The 20,326-nt window shown below is 40.1% G+C and overlaps 1 protein-coding gene across 10 annotated transcripts in view, besides 1 other annotated feature; it reads right to left on the bottom strand.

The window, feature by feature from the left end:
- IFT81 (intraflagellar transport 81) overlaps nt 1-20,326 on the bottom strand; it is a 94,437-nt gene that overhangs the window by 16,680 nt on the left and 57,431 nt on the right. For 9 of the 10 annotated variants that reach the window (NR_144952.2, NR_144949.2, NR_144951.2 and 6 more), the window contains 2 exons: nt 11,066-11,194; nt 9,408-9,497 (listed from right to left, as the gene is read on the bottom strand). Coding sequence is in view for 5 of the 10 variants with exons in the window: in XM_017019217.2 (XP_016874706.1) it covers nt 9,408-9,497; nt 11,066-11,194 (219 nt within the window). In the remaining 5 variants the exon portion in view is untranslated. Of the gene's footprint in view, nt 1-9,407; nt 9,498-11,061; nt 11,195-20,326 lie in introns of all 10 variants that reach the window. The other variant, XR_007063070.1, reaches the window with a different exon arrangement.
- Nucleotides 15,753-15,953: a silencer, noted in NCBI's record as "peak1945 fragment used in MPRA reporter construct". NCBI's record gives its function as "represses an SCP1 promoter by STARR-seq MPRAs in K562 erythroleukemia cells {active_cell/tissue: K562}" and the evidence as "EXISTENCE:reporter gene assay evidence [ECO:0000049][PMID:32103011]".

Raw genomic sequence — 20,326 nt, 5'->3', positions numbered from 1 at the left:
CTACTGTCAGTTGTATAGAAGTATAGCAATACAATTATGTACTGTATATAATACTTGATGATAATAAACTACTATGTTACTGGTTTATGTATTTACTATGCTATATTTTTTATTGTTATTTTAGAGTGTACTGCTTTTACTTATAAAAAATAAACTGTGAAACAGCCTCAGGCAAGTCCTTCAGGAGGCATCCAGAAGAAGGCATTGTTACAGGAGATGACATCTTCATGTGTGTTATTGCTCTTGAAGACCTTTCAGTGGGACAAGATGTTTCAAGGTGGAAGACAGTGATATTGATTACCCTGACGCTGTGTAGGCCTAGGTGTGTGTCTTAGTTTTTAACAAAAAAGTTTAAAAAGTGAAAAAAGCCTGGGTGTGGTGGCACAATCTTGTAATTCCAGCACTGTGGGAGGCCAAGGCGGGTGGATCGCTTGAGCCCAGGAGTTTGAGACAAGCACAGGCAACATAACAAGACCCCACCTCTACAAAATAAATAAATAAATAAATAAATAAAAATTAGCCAGACTTGGTGGTATGTGCCTGTGGTCCCAGCTACTCCTTAGGCTGAAGTGAGAGAGCTGCTTGAGGCCGGGAGGTTGAGGCTGCAGTGAGCCATGATGGTGCCACTGCACTCAGCCTGGGCGACAAGAGCAAGACCCTGTCTCAAAAAAAAACAAAAAACAAAAATTTTTCACCTTTTTTTTTTTTTTTGGAGACAGAGCTTTCTCTTGTCGCCCAGGCTGAAATGCAATGGTACGATCTTGGCTCACTACAACCTCTGCCTCCCGGGTTCAAGCGATTCTCCTGCCTCAGCTTCCCAAGTAGCTGGGACTACAGACATGTGCCACCATGACCAGATAATTTCGTATTTTTAGTAGAGACAAGGTTTCACCATGTTGGCCAGGATGGTCTTGAACTCCTGACTTCAGGTGATCTGCTCGCCTTGGCCTCCCAAAGTGCTGGGATTACAGGCATGAGTCATTGCACCTGGCCAAAAAAATTTTTTTAAATAGAAAAAAGCATATAAAAGAAGGATATAAAGAAATAAAATATTTTCATACCACTATACAATGTGCTTGTGTTTTAAGCTGTTATTACAAAAAAGTCAATTTTTTTTTTAATTAGAAGTTTATAAAGTAAGAAAAGTTTTTTTTAATTTTTTTCAAGACAGAGTCTTGCTCTGTCGCCCAGGCTGGAGTGCAGTGGCGGGATCTCGGCTCACCGCAACCTCCGCCTCCCGGGTTCAAGCAATTCTCCTGCCTCAACCTCCCAAGTAGCTGGGATTACAGCCATGTGCCACCACACCCAGCTAATTTTTTTGTGTTTTTAGTAGAAATGGGGTTTCACTATGTTGTCCAGGCTGGTCTGGAACTCCTGACCTCGTCATCCGCCTGCCTCAGCCTCCCAAAGTGTTGGGATTACAAGCGTGAGCCACCGTGCCCGGCCAAGAAAGCTACGGTAAGCTAAGGTTACTTTATTTTTTTAAAAAAATATTTTACATAAATTTAGAGTAGCCTAAGTGTACACTGTTTCCAAAGTCTATCATAGTGTACAGTAATGTCCTAGACCTTCACATTCACTTACCACTCACTCATTGACTCAACCGGAGAAACTTCCAGTCCTGCAAGCTCCATTCATGGTAAGTTCCCTATAAAGCATACCATTTTAAATCTTTTATACCATAATTTTACTGTACCTTTTCTATGTTTAGATGGGTGTAGATACACAAATACTTACCATTGTGTAACAACTGCCTACAGTATTCAGTATAGTCACATGCTGTACAGGTTTGTAGCCTAGGAGCAATATATCTACCATATAGCCTAGATATGAATAGGCTATACCATCTAGGTTTGTGTAAGTACACTCTATGGTGTTTGCACAATGATGAAATCACTCAATTATGCATTTCTTAGAACGTATCCTCATAATTAAGTGATGCATGCCTGCATCTACAAATGCTTGGTAAGACAGAGCAACATCCTTTCAGATCCCAAGCTGAACTGAACTCTCAAAGAAATAAAAGAAATTAACAGGACCAAAAAGAAAGGGTAACATTATGGCTACCCTTGGTGAAAGGAATTGGGAATGGTCAGTCTTGGTAACACAGTGATTTTAATGTTCAGGCAGAGCAGATGCAAAGCCTTGGGTCTATGCAGAGTGGGAAGTTAGAACTGAGGACCCCATAGTAAACCTTAAGTTGTTTTCAACTTGTGAACCTGTGAGTAAAGGGTTAACACCATCCCGAGAATGACCTTGGTTTCATGACCGTGGTTTCCTGCTGCACGGTTTCCTTAGAAACAGGATAGTTAGCACAGATGAGTAATGTGTATGCTGCCTTTGTTGTGTGGGACTGCATCTGGGCTGGGGTCACTAGTACAGAATAAAAGATTGTTGGAAGAAAGGGGATGTAGCTTCTATGTATCAAAGTGACCTTACAGACACCCAAGGCTCTCAAAGGTGAAAGTCACATCCAAAGTGGGAAAAGGGGCTGCAGAGCCTACGTACTTAGGTAGCTGCTGGTCTCTTGAGATGAAGGTGCTATAGTTGATAAAATCCTTTTTTTGGTCGCAAATCTTATGGTCAAACGGATCACTATGCAGCTGTGACAGTGATCATAGCTGTCCTCAGGCAGCTTTGGAGTTTGAATTTACCCTATCTACATGGTCTAGGAACTTCCAAGCTGAGAAATTAACTCAATATTAGCTCCAAGTTTGTGATATTTCTAAAACAGAAAAACTGAAAAACCACTGTAGAGGTGTACACCTTCCATCCTGGCTGCCAGGATTCAAGAGACAAAGCTCTGTTAATGAAAGCTCACAGTCCCAAAGTATAAAACATGTAAGGGAAAAATCAATTCATTAGGAGTGAGAATCAGAAGATATAAATAACAGGACCATACCTAAAGGAACTTTGGATACTAGAAATAAGCCAACTAAATAAGTATATTTAAAATAATAAAAACTATAAAGGAGGAACTGAAAACAAAAGATTACAAAAAGTGAGGCCAGGTGCGGTGGCTCATGCCTATAATCCCAGCACTTCGGGAGGCGGAGGTGGCCGGATCACTTGAGGTCAGGAGTTTGAGACCATCCTGGCCAACATGGTGAAAACCTGTCCCTACAAAAAATACAAAAATTAGCCAGGCGTGGTGCGCATGCCTGTAGTCCCAGCTACTCAAGAAGCTGAGGCAGAAGAATGGCTTGAACCCGGGACACGGAGGTTGCAGTGAGCTGAGACTGCAACACTGCACTCCAGCCTGGGCGAAGAGCAAGACTCTGTCTCAAGAAAAAAAAAAAAAGAAAGAAAGAAAGAAAAAGTGAGAAAAAATAAAAATGAAAAAGACAGTCATTGAAATTAAAAATTAAGTGGATGAAATAAACAATATTAGACACCTCTGAGGAAATAAAAGAATGAACTAAAACACAGAGCTGAAGAAATTATCTAGAATTCAACACAGAGAGACAAAAATATGAAAGTGAGATGAAGTAACAGGGAACAGAATAAATACCTCTAACATATCTCTAGTATGAGTAGCTGGAAAACAGACCGCAAAAAATGGGAGAGAAAATATCTGAAAGTATTATGTAGACTTTTTCCAGAATTCATGGAAGACACAAAACACAAATTCAGAAAAGTAAATAAAACTAAATATACACTCAAAACATGGTACTGAAATCTGGACAACACCAAAGAAAAAGATAAAAATATGAAAACCAGTTATAGGGAAGATATTACCTAAAAATAAATGATAAACTGATAGCCGACCCTTCAACAAAATAAAAGAAAGCATGAAAATTTTTTTTTTCTGACCAAGCCATTATTTAAAAGAAGAAAAAAAAAAGATGGCTTACTTATTGTAATGATTCTTTACTGCGAACACTAAACACACACATACGCGCACACTCACAAAACAAGGAAATTGTATTTCAGGAAAAAGAAAACTGAATCCAGAAATAAGGAGTAAAATACAAGCAGTGATGGTGAAAACTGCTAAATATATAGGTAAATCTAAACAGGAAATGATTATATAAAGTTGTAATTATAATACTAACAACCACCATAACAACTACTTTTAGAGATGTACAAATAAAGAAATAAGGGCTGGGCACGGTGGCTCATGCCTGTAATCCCAGTACTTTGGGAGGCTGAGGCGGGCGGATCACCTAAGGTCAGGAGTTCGAGACCAGCCTGACCAACATGGAGAAACCCCATCTCTACTAAAAATACAAAATTAGCCGGGTGTGGTGGTGCATGCCTGTAATCTCAGGTACTCGGGAGGCTGAGGCAGGAGAATTGCTTGAACCCAGGAGGCGGAAGTTGCGGTGAGCCAAGGTTGCGCCATTGCACTCCAGCCTGGGCAACAAGAGTGAAACTCCATCTCAATAAATAAATAAACAAAACAAACAAATAAATAAAAAAAATGCCGGAGGATAACAACGCACATGTAAGGTAGAAGAGGGTGTCAAATTATTCTAAGGTTCCTGTATTGTGGAGATGTTAACAACTTTAGACTTTGTTAAGTGAGGTATATATATATATATATATATATATATATGATAAAAACCTAAGAATAAATAATATCAGAATAGAAGATAAAAAAACAGAAAAAAGGGAAAAAAGAGAAAAGAAAACAGGATTGGTACAATGGATGGTTAAAAAAAAAAAGCAAAGAGAAAACACAGTAAATAACAGGATGTACAAAATAGAAAAAAATTCAAATGCTTCAAAAATTAGAGTAAACATAAATGAGATTAAACTTACCACTTAAAAGACAGATTCTCAAACTGGATGTAAGAAACTACACCCACACAAAATACATCTATCTATCTATCTATCTATCTATCTATCTATCTATCTATCTACCTACCTACCTATCTACTTATCTACCCACTCACCTATCTATCTATCTACCTAGAGTGCAGGTCTTACTCTTTCACCCAGGCTGGATGCAGTGGTGCTATCAGGTCTCACTGCAACCTCGAACTCCTGGGCTCCAGCTATCCTTCTGCCTCAGCCTCCCAATAGCTAAGACTATAGATGTGTGCTCCCATGCTCAGCTAATTTTTTTACTTTTTGTAGAGATGGAGTCTTGCTATGTTGCCGAGGCTGGTATTGAAATCCTGGGCTCAAGAGTCTCCTAACTCAGCCTCCCAAAGTGCTAGGATTACAGTCATGAGCAACTGCTGCCTGGCCCTACATGCTATTTATGAGACATACATAAGACAAAAATAAGGACATAGGAAGCTGAAAGCAAACAGAAATAAGAAGCAATACTAATCATAAGAAAGCTGGCATATATGCTTTAATAGTAGACAAAATAATACTCTAAGGCAAAAACCATTACGTACCATAATAAGGAATAAAGTTTAAAAATAAAGACAGAACATAAAATTCAACGGGAAGTTTTTTTCCTTCTTTCTTTTTTTAAAGACAAGGTTTCACTGTGTTGTGCAGGCTGGTCTTGAACTCCTAGGCTCAAGTCATCCTCTTGCCTTGGCCCCCTGAGTAGCTAGGACTATAAGCATGTGCTATTACCCTGGGCTGGTTTTTGTTTTTTAACCAGGAAGATTTTGTTTGTTTTCTCTTTTTTTGAGACGGAGTCTCGCTCTGTCACCCAGGATGGAGCACAGTGGCATAATCTCAGCTCACTGCAACCTCCGCCTCCCAGGTTCAAGCGATTCTGCCACCTCAGCCTCCCGAGTAGCTGGGACTACAGGTGTGTGCCACCATAGCTGGCTAATTTTTGTATTTTTTGGTAGAGACAGAGTTTCGCCATGTTGGCCAGGCTAGTCTCGAACTCCTGACCTCAAGTGATCCACCCGCCTTCGCCTCCCAAAGTGCTAGGATTACAGGCATGAACCACCACACCTGGTCTGTCTTGGTTTTTTGCTGTAATAAAATACACATAACAAAATTTGCCATTTTAACCATTTTTTAAGTGTGCAATTCAGTTGGCATTAAGCACATTCATAATGTTGGGCAACCATTACCACCATCCATCTACATAACTCTTTTCATCTGAAAAAGTTTCCGTGAAACATTTTACCCATTCACTAGGAAGTTTAGAACACCGCTTTTATAAGCCTGATCTGATGAACACAGGGAGAACCCTGTACTCAACAACTGGAAAATAGACATTCTTTTCAAGATCGAGTTACCAAAAAAATTAAGTTGGCCTCAGATCTCTCCATAGCTACATTTAACCCTAGAAGATTGTCGAGCTACACTTAAAAAAAATCCTCAAGGAAAGAAAGCATGATCTAATAGTCAAACGGCTGTTGAAATGTTTAGGCAATAAACTAGAACATGCAAGAACTCATCAGGGAATATTGTTCTTATGAGTCTTTTTGGAGGACTCAACTAGAGGACAAGTTCCAGGCAATCAAAAGAGAAGTGAGACAAAGGGCAGTCAGTGAATTGGTAATGAGCGCTGGATCTAATAATTACAGGTCTAGAGCTGAAAACCAAAGCGAGAAGTAGGGTAACAGAGGAGAATGTAAATGTTATATGCAGTGACAAGATAGAAATGATACAACAAAGCCTTCAGGAAGAAGAAAGGGAAAAGAAGGTGGAAGGCAGAGTAAGTAAGCTGGTTTCCTCATTTTTTTAATTGCTAGAGGTGGGTGGGGGAATGTCAAAGAATATCATTTAAAGCTAACAAGTCATACTATAAGTGTATTCAAGGTATAACGGCAAACACTAAGACAATACGATCTACTAAAATCAGGTGCTAGAGGAGAGGGAAGGAAGGGAGGAGGAACAAGAAATATATCAATTTCATGACTTCTCACAGTGGGGATTAATAGATGCCATCTAAAGAAATAAATAATGAATAGTAGAGTTAAAAGGCTAAAACTAAACCATAAGCCAGAACACACACACATGAGGGAGAGAAGTCAGGGGATGAGTGAGGAGGGGAAAAAGGAGGAGAAGGAGATTTTTTATAGGCTTTAAAATTGAAAGCCAAACATAAAGTAATACCACCCAAACCAAATGTATCTGCATATTAATAAATATATAAATTTACCTATTAAAATAAACCTTTCAGATGATATGACACAGCAAAACCTAATTCAAGATCTATTCAAGAGACACATCAGAAACAAAATACTTTTTTTAAAAGTGGAAAGTATAAGGTGGACAAAAAAAGTACAGCAACCAAATGTTAAAAGAAAAGAAAGCAGATAATTTGATCTTGGTATCAGTCACGGTTGATTTCAGTCCTCCCACGTCCTGAAAAAAGCTTTTGTTTTTACAAAGTAGAACAGAAGTGTGGAGAACAAATTTAAGGTAGTTATTAAATAATTATCTGTTCATTAATTATCAGAAAATTTCTGGAAAATACATATGGAGCTGTTAAGTCATGTGCTGGGGATGCTGAAAGAAATAATTTTTATTCTTTTCCTTAAATAACTCTGTATAGCTTTAATTATTGCTAAGAACATGATTTTACTTTTATATGAAAAAGTAATCAATAAATAATAGATATTTCATTGAAAATAAAAATTATCAGATTGCATACTCTAAAATATAAACAGGGTGGGTGTGGTGGCTCACGCCTATAATCCCAGCATTTTGGAAGCCTGAGGTGGGAGGACTGCTTGAGCCCAGGAGTTCGAGACTAGCCTGGCAACAGCAGACCCCATCTCTACTTAAAAAAATTAAATGAATAAAAAAAAAATGAATATTTCAGTTTTTTCCTACATATAAGCAATTATATATAATTATTCCATTTAATTACATATAATTTATAGAACTGCTCCTAAGAAAATAAACATAAAACTTTTCAAAATGCTATTCTAATTCTAGATGACTATAATAGATCTAGATAAATATAAGTTAGACATCTTTCATTGTTGATATGGTTTGGATCTCTGTCCCTGCCCAAATCTCACGTCAAACTGTTACCTCCAATGTTGGAGGTGGGGCCTGGTGGGAGGTGATTGGATCGTGGGGGTGAAATTCTCATGAACGGTTTAGCACCATTCTCTTGGTGCTGTTTTCATGATAGTGAGTGAGTTCTCATAAGATCTCGTTGTTTAAAAGTGTGAGGCCCCTCCTCCCACCCCCTTGCTGCTCTAGCCATGTGATATGCCTGCTCTCTCTTTGCCTTCTGCCATGATTGTAAGCTTCCTGAGGCCTCCCTAGAAGGTGAGTAGATGCCTGCATCATGCTTCCTGTATAGCCTGTAGAACCATGAGCCAATTAAGACTTTTTTCTTTAGAAATTACTTAGTCTCAGGTATTTATTTACAGCAATGAGAGAAAAGACTAATCCAGTTGTGATGCTCTAATATTCAAACAGCTGTTAATATTCAAATTTAGAAAAAAATGCAAGTATCACACAAAGGAAATATATTAACACTTCCCTGTAAAATTTCCTAATAGTTCAGGGTTGTCCATTAAAGTAAGTTACGTATTTTTAAGTATTCCTGCTCTTTGAAAGTGTCATAATGTATTTTTGTAGTTTCAAGTATTAAATATAGTTAAACAAGTTAAAAATATAGTATTAAAAATAGAGAACAGTGAATGTCAAATGGTGGAGGCTGTCTGATCTGGATTTGTAGAGGGCATTTACCTTCTGACAATTTATCTTTAAAGCAGTGGTTAGAACTAGTTTCCAAGTAATGGTATTTCATCACTTCTCATAATCTATCATAGTTTGCTGTGCACCGTGCCTCCTAGCAGTGCAAGTTCATTAATCTAAAGTTAACTTGTCACCACTTGTGGGCAGACTTTGAGCTTTTACCTGGACACAGAAGAATGTGACTTCATATTTATAGCTTTAAGGTCCATATGATTTAAAGAAAAAATCTCCTCTGGCTGAATTTGTGCATTTCAGCTTAAACTGCTTTTTCTCCATCTCCTCTGCCTCCAATTATTTATGGCTAAATAAGCAGCATAAATTAAACAAAAACCCTTGCAAGTCATTTTTGGGGGGAGGGGTGGGAGACAGGGTCTCACTCTGTCACCCAAGCTGGAGTACAGTGGCATGATCATGGCTCACTGCAATCCTGACCTTCTGGGTTCAAGCAATCCTCCCACCTCAGCATCCCGAGAATCTGGGGCTACAGGTGCATGCCACCAAGCTCAGCTAATTTTTTTATTTTTTGTAGAGACAAGGTCTTGTTGTTAGACAGGCTGGTCTCGAATTCCTGGGCTCAAGTGATCATCCTCCTGTCTCAACCTCCCAAAGTGCTGGGATTACAGGCATAAGCCACCACACCTGGCCTGTATGTCATGTTTTAATTCTCTTTTGAAGAATTGTATCAATAACGTAATAATGATAATTTGTTTTCTATATTACCCAAGTAAAATATCCAGGGTTCTAACTAGCACATGTGAATAAGATAGAATACTAAAAGTATCATAAAATCAAATTACTTGATAAAATCAAAAACTTACTTGATATTTTTGACGCAACTGTCGTAGCTCTTTTATAACTGAGGCAAGAGCTGACTTCTTTTCAGATACCAATGAATACAGTTTTTTCACCTGTTATTTGAACAAAAAATATAACACCTAAAAAAGAATTCAAAAAAAGAAAAATACTACATGCATAAAGATATTAATTTCAGTGTTAAATGTAAGAGCAAAAAACTGCAAATTACTTCAGTCCCAAACAACAGAGAAGTGCTTTAGAAAATCCTGATTCCTCAGCAAGATGGAATACTATACTATTTAATCATTCAAAACGTCAGTTCTCAAGACTGTAAACCATTACGGGAAAATCTTTATAATTTAACATTGAATAAATATATTAAAAAATTGCCCTATACAACTATAATCATGATGTATTATTTATGTAGGCATATAAAATATACATAAATATAGATGGAGTGATATTCAAAATACTACAGTATAGTCCAAATAGCATAAGTAATGATCCATCAGAATGGACACCAATCAGAGAGATGAATGGGGTCTTTTTTTTTTTTTTTGAGACAGAGTCTTGCTTGGTTGCCCAGGCTGAAGTGCAATGGTGTGATCTCAGCTCACTGCAACCTCTGCTTCCCAGGTTAAAGTGATTCTCATGCCTCAGCCTCCTGAGAAGCTGGAACTACAGGAGTGCGACACCACGCCCGGCTGATTTTTGTATTTTTAGTAGAGACGGGATTTCACCATGTTGGCCAGGCTGGTCTCGAACTCCTGACCTCAAGTGATCCTCCCGCCTCGGCCTCCCAAAGTGCTGGGATTACAGGTGTGAGCCACCGTGCCTGGCCTGAACAGGGTCTTACATGCTAACCTTTTTAGGAGTTAGATTGTGATGAGATCCAGAGGGTTCTGGGGGAATGGCCAATGTGGACAAGACAACTGGAGGGGGGTACTCTGAGGGTTTGGGGCGGCTATTTACCAACAAGTAATATAAGATATCAACATTTTAATGCCTGGTGAAAGTGTACTAGTGCAATCTGATTGAATACAAGTCCTGAAAATGGAAAGATTCTAAGAACATACACAACAATGAAATAATTCTATTAGGGTGGTATGACCTGGGAAAATTTATTTTTCTTCTTAAATATTTCTTTAATGTTATATAACTTTTGCACATTAAAAAAACAGAAAATGCATAAACTATTAGAATTTGAACAACCTTACTAGAATGAAAAAAATTCAAAAGAGATTGATAAAGACAGATGAGACCGGGTGTAGTGGCTCACGCCTGTAATCCCAGCACTTTGGGAGGCTGAGGCAGGTGGATCACTTGAGGTCGGGAGGTAGAGACCAGCCTGCCCAACATGGTGAAACCCTGTCTCTACTAAAAATACAAAAATTAGCCGGGCATGGTGGCACACACCTGTAGTCCCAGCTACTTGGGAGGCTGAGGCATGAGAATCACTTGAACCCCAGAGGTGGATGTTACAGTGAGCCAAATTCATGCCACTGCACTCTAGCCTGGGCAATAGAGTGAGACTCTGCCTCAAAAAGAAAAAAAAAAAAAAGATGAAAGAATGTAATGTGCAGAAATTAACAGGTGAATGTTTCACTGAAAATAAAACTAACACAAAACACCTGCCTTCTAGCTACACAATAAAAGAAAATTTAAATAAAAGTATCATCACCATTTCAGACATATCATCCAATGTTCGTCCTTTCATTTCATCAACTTCACTCTTCAGTGCAGATACTCTTTCTAGCTCTTCTTGGGTGTAACTATATCCAGATATACCCTTTTTCTCCTCCATAGTTTGCTATAAGTAAAAAATAAAAAGGCCACAAAACATGTCAAAATCTTGCTGGCTCCCATAAGAAATGTACAAATTTCATACATAACAAAAAATTGTAAATAGAATTAATTAGTTTAGAATCCTAAAGGACAATCTTCATTGACTTCAATTATTATTTCATTCAATTACATGCCTTTGTATATTATAAACCTATGGTATCTTCAGGTACATAGGAAGTATTTCTAATCGTAGACTTTATAATAATGTTATGTACTCAGCACAGAACCTAAAACATAGGGTACATTCAATAAACATTTGATGAAAGAATGAATTCTCAAATGATATGTTCACTCATCCAATATTTATTATATATGTAAATGTGCCAATCACAGTTCTAGGCACCAGGTATACGGCAGTGAATAGAACAGGAAAAAAAAAATCCCTTCCCTCACAGAGCTTACTACTAGTGGGAATAAATAAGCAATATGTAAATAAGTAAATAAATAAATATAGTATAACCAGAAGGTGGTTAGAGAAGATGATCCAGAGAAGATGATCCTGAGAAGATGACATCTGAGCAAAGCCCCGTAGGAAGTGAGGGAATCAGCAAGTGCAAAAGCTGGGAGCAAACTTGACCAGTTCAAGAAACAGTAAGGAGGTGCAGTGAGAATAAGGTGGGGGTGAAGGAGGGGTTACATGGGGTTCAGCTGGTTTGCTAGGTCTCAGTGTACATCTATTGTCCCTTGCACTCTCAAGAAGTATCCTACTTTAGATAATAAGTTGTATTGTTATCTTATTTTTAAGCTGATGAAAGAGCTTTGTTTTCTTTAAAATGAGATAGGCAGCTGTTGAAAGGTTCAGAGTTAAGGCAATTTTAAAATGATCACTTTAACATCTGTGCTGAGATCAGGCTAGGTAGGAGCAGGGAGGCCAATTAGAAGACCGTCTCAATAGTTCAAGTTAAAGAAAATGGTAGCATGAATCAGGGTGGTGGTGACAGAAATAATGAGAAATGGTTCTGTGTATATTTTGAAGGCAGATCAAACAAGATAATGCGACAAATTAGATGTAGGGATGTGAACGCAAGTAAAGGATAAAGAATGAGTTCAAGGTTTCTGACTTGAGAGACTAACAGGATGAAGTTTCCATTTGTTGAGAGGAAGAAGAATGGGGAAGACTAGTTTAAGGAGGTGGTGCAGATCAGAAGTTTATTTTTGGACATGTTAAAAATTTGAAATATATATTAGATATCCAAATGGAAAGGTCAAGATGTTATATGTGTAAGACTGGAATTAGGCCAGGTGTGGTGGCTCGCGCCTGTAATCCCACTACTTTGGGAGGCTGAGGCAGGTGGATCCCCTAAGGTCAGGAGTTTGAGACCAGACTGGCCAACATGGCGAAACCTTGTCTCTACTAAAAATACAAAAATTAGCCAGATGTGTTGGTGGGCACCTGTAATCCCAGCTACTTGGGAGGCTGAGGCAGGAGAATCACTTGAACCCGGGAGGTGGAGCTTGCAGTGAGCCGAGACTGCACCACTGCACTCCGGTCTGGGCAAAAGAGTGAGACTCTGTCTCAAAAAATAAATAAATAAATAAATAAATAAAATTTTAAAAAGGACTAGAATTAGAGGAGAAATCTAGGCTGGAGATATAAATTGGTGAGTTGTCACAATATAAGAGGGGGCCTTTACAACCATGAGACAGGATAAGATCACCAAGGAAGTGAAGATAGAAAGCAGATCCAAGGGCTAAGCCTAGGGAACCCCAACATTTAAACTTTAAAGAAATGATAAGAAATCAGCAATAGAATAGGAATAGGAGTGTTAGTTAGGAAGAAAAACCAGGAAAGTGTAGTGTCTTAGAAGACAGAAGAAGAAGTTTTACAGGAAGATGGAATGATCAACTATGCTAAATGCTGCTACTAGGTCAAGTAAGGAAAGGACTAATAATTAATCATTGGATTTGGCAATGTGAAGGTACTGGTGACCTGACGAAAGACTTTTTTTTTTTTTTGAGACGGAGTCTTGCTCTGTCACCCAGGGTGGAGTGCAGTGGTGCGATCTTGGCTCACTGCAACCTCCGACTCCCGGGTTCAAGCGATTCTCCTGCCTCAGCCTCCCAAGTAGCTGGGATTACAGGCGCGTGCCACTATGCCTAATTTTTTTTTTTTTTTGTATTTTTAGTAGAGATAGGGTTTCACTATGTTAGCCAGGATGGTCTTGATCTCCTGACCTCATGATCCACCCACCTTGGCTTCTCAAAGTGCTGGGATTACAGGCGTGAGCCACCGTGCCCAGCCTGACAAAAGACATTTTAGTGGAATGGTAAGTGCGAAAACTGTATTGAAGAGAGTTCAAAAAAGAATGAAAGAACCAAAAGGAAAGAAAGACAAGGAAAGACAGAATGGAAGAAGAGTTAAGATTCTGGCCTGTCAATAGGACTGGGACCTAAAGGGGTAGAGGGAACTACAGAGAATTAGCCCCAGATTCTGTATGCATTTTCCTCTTTAGGCATTACCAAATCTTAGGATATGCACAAGCAGAGTAAGGCTCTCAAAAACCAAGCGGAAATCAGCAGATGGGTTATTTTTTTTTTTAATTTTTTTTTTTTGAGACGGAGTCTTGCTCTGTCGCTCAGGCTGGAGTGCAGTGGCACGATCTCGGCTCACTGCAACCTCCGCCTCCCAGGTTCATGCCATTCTCCTGCCTCAGCCTCCCGAGCAGCTGGGATTCCCGGCACCCACCACCATGCCCAGCGACTTTTTTGTATTTTTAGTAGAGACAGGGTTTCACTGTGTTAGCCAGGATGTTCTTGATCTCCTGACCTCGTGATCCACCCGCCTCAGCCTCCCAAAGTGTTGGGATTACAGGCGTGAGCCACCGCGCCCGGCCGAGCAGATAGGTTATTAAAGAGCTGAGCAAAGATTGTAGCAGTCTCACAGTACTAGGGAGATAAAGGTAGGAATTCAGGACTTTCCAGGGTGCACAGGCTTTGGTAAATGCCTCACATTATCAGCTGAAAACCTAGAAGGTCTACTCCTTAGAAGGTCTATAACCTAGCAGTAAGACCTACATCCTTGGAGTAAGGACCACTTCCTAAAGTCTCTACCACAGGTACGAGAACTATATCTTTGGATTAAGAGAAAACTGGAGAAATACCAGCTTAAGAAAAACAAAAAACAAAACAAAACAAAAAAGCTACCCTCAACTTGATCAAGGTAACTTTCTAGAAAAAAATTAAATCCTCCTTATAGAAAAACAAATATAGTCAGAGCTTCTAAAATTTAATGACACTTTACACCCAACATTCAATAAAAAATTACCAAGTAAGCAAAGTAATAGGCCCAAATGAATGAAAATCAAGAGAAAAAAATACATGGCCAGGAACAGTAGCTTATGCATGTAATCCCATCACTTTGGGAGGCCGAGAAGGGCAGATCACTTGAAGTCAGGAGTTCAAGACCAGCCTGGCCAACATGGTGAAATTCTGTCTTTACTAAAAATACAAAAAATTAGCCGGGTGTGGTGGTGGGTGCCTGTAGTCCCAGCTACTCAGGAGGCTGAGGTGGGAGAATCACTTGAACCCAGGAGGTGGAGGCTGCAGTGAGCCAAGATCACATCACTGCACTCTAGCCTGGGTGACAGAGTGAGACTCTGTCTCAAAAAACAAAAACAAAAACAAAAACAACAGGAATAGATGCTCAAATAAATTTCAGACATGAACTTTAAAATAGCTGAGATTAATATATTCAAGAAAATAAACAAAAAGTTGAAGAATGTTACAAATAACTGCAATCTATAAAATTGAATCATATGGAAATTCTAAAACTGAGAAATACAATAACTGATATTAAGAATTCAACAAATGAATTAAATAACAGACTAGACACACAAAAAAGAAGAAGATTAATCAACTGGAAAAATAGCACAGTAGAAAAAAATACAGATTGAATCACAGAGAGGAAAAAAATAATAGAAAATGAAAAAAAGAAAAAGAAAAACACAAAGCCCATAAGAAATACATGGAAAGTGGTGAAAATGTCCAACATGCATGTAGTTGGAGTTAAAGTAAAAGAGGACAGAATGAGATTGTAGTAATAATTGAAGAAATACTGGGCTGGGCGTGGTGGCTCATGCCTGTAAGCCCAGCCTTGGGAGGCAAGGCAGGTGGATCGTTTGGACCCAGGAGTTCAAGACCAGCCTGGGCATCATGGCAAAACCCTGTGTCTAAAAAAACTACCAAAAATACACACACACACAAAATGGCTGAGCATGGTGGCTCGGGCCTGTGGTCCCAGCTGCTTAGGAGGCTGAGGTGGGAGAATCGCCTGAGCCCAGGAAGTAGAGGCTGCAATGAGCCGAGATCACACCACTGCACTCCAGCCTGGGCAACAGAGTGAGACCCTGTCTCAAAAAAACAAAACAAAAACAAACAAATAAAAAAAGAAAGAAAGAAAGGAAAGAAAGACATAATAAATAAATAAACATTGGCTGAGAACTTTTCAAAAATGAACAAAGACATAAAGCCACATATTCAAGAAGCTTTACAGACCTTAAGCCAGGTGAATAAAAAAGAAAATCACACCTAGAAAAGTCATAGTAAAACCACTGAACAACCAAACACAGATAGAAGATCTTACAAACCAGAGAATAACAGTCTACCTTAAAACAAACAAACAAACAAACAAACAAACAAACAAACAAGATGTACAGTTGATGTTATGAAATAAATAATGGAAGTCAGAAGACAATGGAATTAAATCTTTAAAGTGCCGAAAGAAAATAGCTGCCAACCAAAAATTCTACATTCAGTAAAAATGTGCTTCAAAATGAAGGTAAAATACAGGTGTCTTAAGAAAAACAAAAACTGAGAAGATTTAAGCAGACCTGAACTAAATAAAATACTTAAGGTGAGCTCATTAGACAGATACCAATAGAAGAACAATGATGAAGGAAGAAAAGAAGAACCATGAAAAGAGTAAACAGGTAGATAATCTAGAATAATATTGAACATAATATCATGTACGATTTAAATCTATCTAGGCCCCAGCACAGTGGCTCACACCTGTAATCCTAGCATTTTGGGAGGCTGAGGTAGGAGGATTGCCTGAGCCCCTGAGTTTGAGGCCAGCCTGGACAACATAGTGAGACCCCATGTCTGAAAAAAAAATACACATAAAAATTAGCTGGGTGTGGTAGTGCACGCCTGTAGTCCCAGGTACTTGGGAGAATCACTTGAGCCCAGGAGGTTGAGGCTGCAGTGAGCTCTGACTGTACCATTACATTCCAGCCTGGGCAACAGAACAAGACCCCTTCTCAAGAAAATTATATTTAGAATTAAAAAAATATTATCAACAATAGCACTAAATATGGGAAGGAGGTAAACAAAGTTAAAGTGTTTTAGGTTCTTGCATTGCCCAGGACACGGCAATAGTAAAAATTTAGTGAAGACTGGCTGGGTGCAGTGGCTCACACCTGTAATCCCAGCACTTTGGGAGGCCGAGGTGGGCAGATCACGAGGTCGGGAGATTGAGACCATCCTGGCTAACATGGTGAAACCCCGTCTCTACTAAAAAAAAAATACAAAAAAATAGTTGGGCATAGTGGCACACTCCTGTAGTCCCAGCTACTTGGGAGGCTGAGGCGGGAGAATCACTTGAACCTAGGGGGCGGAGGTTGCTGTGAGCTGAGATCGTGCCACTGCACTCCAGCTTGGGCAACAGAGAGAGACTCTGTCTCAAAAAAAAGAAAAAAAAATTTAGTGAAGACTGTAATCAGTCAAGGGTGTATATCATAATCTCTGGCATAAGCACTAGAGTGCAATCACTCACTGGCTAAATGGAACTAAGGACTCTATTACTGTGGCAGGTAGAGTACTGACAGTCCCAGGCATGTTGCAGCAGTGCAATTAATAAGACTTTCACTTGTGGTGAATTGGGGAAGAATACAGGTGGATGGGGATTGTGGTGGCCAACAAAATTTATGGCTCAGATTGCTTTCAAGAGAGTTGGCTGAGAGGAACAGAGCTGACTGATATCCATAGCTGCTGCCCCTCTGGGTCCATCATCATGTTTGCACCAACGCTATGCTTCCCTGGAGCTGCTCTTAGCCAATGACTGAGTACAGCAGTAGTACTAGTGTTGGCCCAGTCCTGCCTGACAAGGGACTCCTCTAATAGGTGACTGGCTCAGGAACTCTCCATCAGCCTGACCAAAACTTTCTCAGAGTTGTGTTGAAGTTTGAGGCTATTTCTACCCAATCTTCCTTTGCCCTTTCCTTTCACAGGTGTCAGACCTGTATCAGAGCCTGAAGGCTTTCCCTGCCTCCTCCTGCTCCCTTCCCTTTACCCTTCATAAGTATGTCCTTCAATAAATCTTTTGTACATGTAATCCCATCTCAGTGTCTGCTTCTTGGAGGATCTGAACTGATACAAAGATGCACTAGACGGTGTAATGTTTCTGGCATTTGAGGAGAAATAGTAACTATAAGGACTATGGAACTGGGGTGGCTATCACTAAACTCCACTGATGGTTGAAGAGATAAAATAACAGGCTCAAATCCATTAATTTGTAATTTATTTATTTATTTTTTTTGAGATGGAGTCTCGCTCTGTCACCCAGGCTGGAGTCCAGTGGCATGATCTCGGCTCACTGCAAGCTCTGCCTCCGGGGTTCACGCCATTCTCCTGCCTCAGCCTCCCGAGTGGCTGGGACTACAGGTGCCCGCCACCACGCCCGGATAATTTTTTGCATTTTTAGTAAATACAGGGTTTCACCGTGTTAGCCAAGATGGTCTCGATCTCCTGACCTCGTGATCCACCCGCCTCGGCCTCCCAAAGTGCTGGGATTACAGGCGTGAGCCACCATGCCTAGCCTAATTTGTAATTTAAAGCAAAGTGATCAAGTTAGAGAACCTCCTTAAGGGCTTTAAAGAAACTCTCATTTCCCCTGGCTAAAGTGCAGAGGGAGCTGAAAACCAGGCACAGGACTAATTTTAAGACTGGCAAAACTCCAGAGAAAGTTGAATTCTTAGTCTAGGCAAATATTCTATGCCAAAGTCAGGGCCCTGACAGAGAAGAAAAAGGGTGCTGAGTCTGGGATGGGGGTATCTGGATAGACCCACTTGAGAACCTTGAATCCCCAGATTATCCTGTATCCTCTGGGCAGTGGCAAATGGCTCAGCTTGTTGGTCAAGGCCCTGGAAGATGCAAGACAGCAAGGACAAGGAGGTCTAGGAAAGAGGCATGTGTTTGAACCTATGGGAGTAGGCACTAAGTATAATGATCTTTTCATTACATGGAAACCGGAAAATGTCCACTGCAGAAGATGCACTGAACAACCAAGTGGAAAGGATGATTTGGCCAGCAGATGTCAGCCAGCCTCTGACATTGGCCCACACAGTGCTTAAACAATGGACTCACAAACAGAATGGCTTTGTTGGTAGAGATGGAAGTTACGTATGAGCCAAATAGCATGGGCTCTCTCTCATCAATGCTCATCTAGCTGCTGCCAATATCAAACGTCTGACCTGCCAGCAACAGAGACCATTCCTGAGCTCTGGGTAAGGAATCATCCCTTGAGGAAACCAACCCCCTATTTTGTGGCAATTTAATAACATCGGACCCTTTCTGCCCTGAAAAAGGTGACATTTCATCCTTAATGGGACTGATCCATATTCTGAGTATAGGTTTGCCTTTCTTGCCCATTGTACTTCAGCCAGCACTACTATCCAAGGGCTAAGAGCATTCAGTCTACTGATGTGGAATCTCACATAATATCACCTCAAACCAAGGGACACACTTTACAGCAAAGGAAGTATGATAGCATTCGTATGACCATATAATTCAGTAATTTTACCACATACTACACTATCTGGAAAGCTGATGGCCTGACAGAATAGTGGAACAGTGTCTTAAACGTAAGGCCCCAGTTGGAACTGGATGGCCTATGAAAATGAGTTCTACCTTTAGGATGGGGTGTACACCTTAAACCGATGCCCATGATATGGTGCTATGTTCCCGATAGAAAGCATAGGTCTCAGAACCATGAGATGAAAGTATAGGTGTCACCACGAACCATGATCCCCAGTGATCCACTTTAGGGAATTATGCTTCCCTTCCAGACAACTGTAGGCTCTGTGGGTATAGATACTCTGGTTGCCAGAGATATTCTGATGGCATGCTTCCATCAGAAGGCACATTAAGAGGCCCTTGACACTTAATGTTCTGACTACCATCTGGTCACTTGAGCTTCTCATGTCAATAGATCAGCAGGCAAAGAAAGCAGGGTATCATAAGGCTATATAGATGCTGCTATATAACAGGGACAGAAAGAAATATATTTAGGACTCAGATGATCCATTAGGGCATATCTTGGTACTCCCATGCCCAGTTTTAACTGTAAATGGGGAAGTATAGCAGCCATGGCCTGGTAAGGGCATGATTACTAGAGTCTCACACTTCTCAAGGATGAGGAACTGGGTCATCCCACCAAGTAAGTCATCTAAACCAGAGGAGGTACTAGCTGAGGTGAGGGAACTCTAGAATGGATAGTAAAGGAAGGAGATGTTGAATATCAGTTATGTCCTTGGAACCAAATGTAGCAATGAGAGTTTCCATTTGTCCCACTAATCTTTCTCCTATAAGTTTTCCTAGAAATTGCGACCAACTAGAATCCTATAGAAGCTATAGCTGGGTGGAGTAAATTTAATGTGACAAACAAGTAGATCCTACTAGTGCAAGGGGTGAACTGTAGTAGATGTTGCTGGTGCCCCACTCAGACCTCATTTGCAAACTGTTATGAATGTTGACTGCTAAATAGCTCATAGTTACCCCTTTCTCCAGAGAGTGCCCTCAGCGAAATGGGAGGTGTCTCACCTAAGAGGTTACACTTGACCACAGCCAAATGACTGACTGCCATGGGGTACAAAAGGCCAGCCCCCTTGCATCAAGATGGAATCAACTCCAGTGCAATTTGTTCCAAAGTTGATCATGGGATCAGAATGAAGCCAGCTCCAGTTGAGACCATGTCCTTTTCTTGCTTGGCTTTTTTCTGCTGCCTCATCTGCTTCCCTCACTCCCCTCCTTCTGAAGGTACTCCCTCAATAAATCACTAGCACAAAGAATTCCCTTCTCGAGCTCTGCTTCTAGGGACCCA

This window comes from Homo sapiens, chromosome 12 (assembly GCF_000001405.40).
Source record: "Homo sapiens chromosome 12, GRCh38.p14 Primary Assembly".
In the NCBI taxonomy this organism is placed as follows: Eukaryota; Metazoa; Chordata; class Mammalia; order Primates; family Hominidae; genus Homo; species Homo sapiens.
Note: the sequence above shows the minus strand (reverse complement) of the source record. Positions and strands in the feature narration are given on the sequence as shown.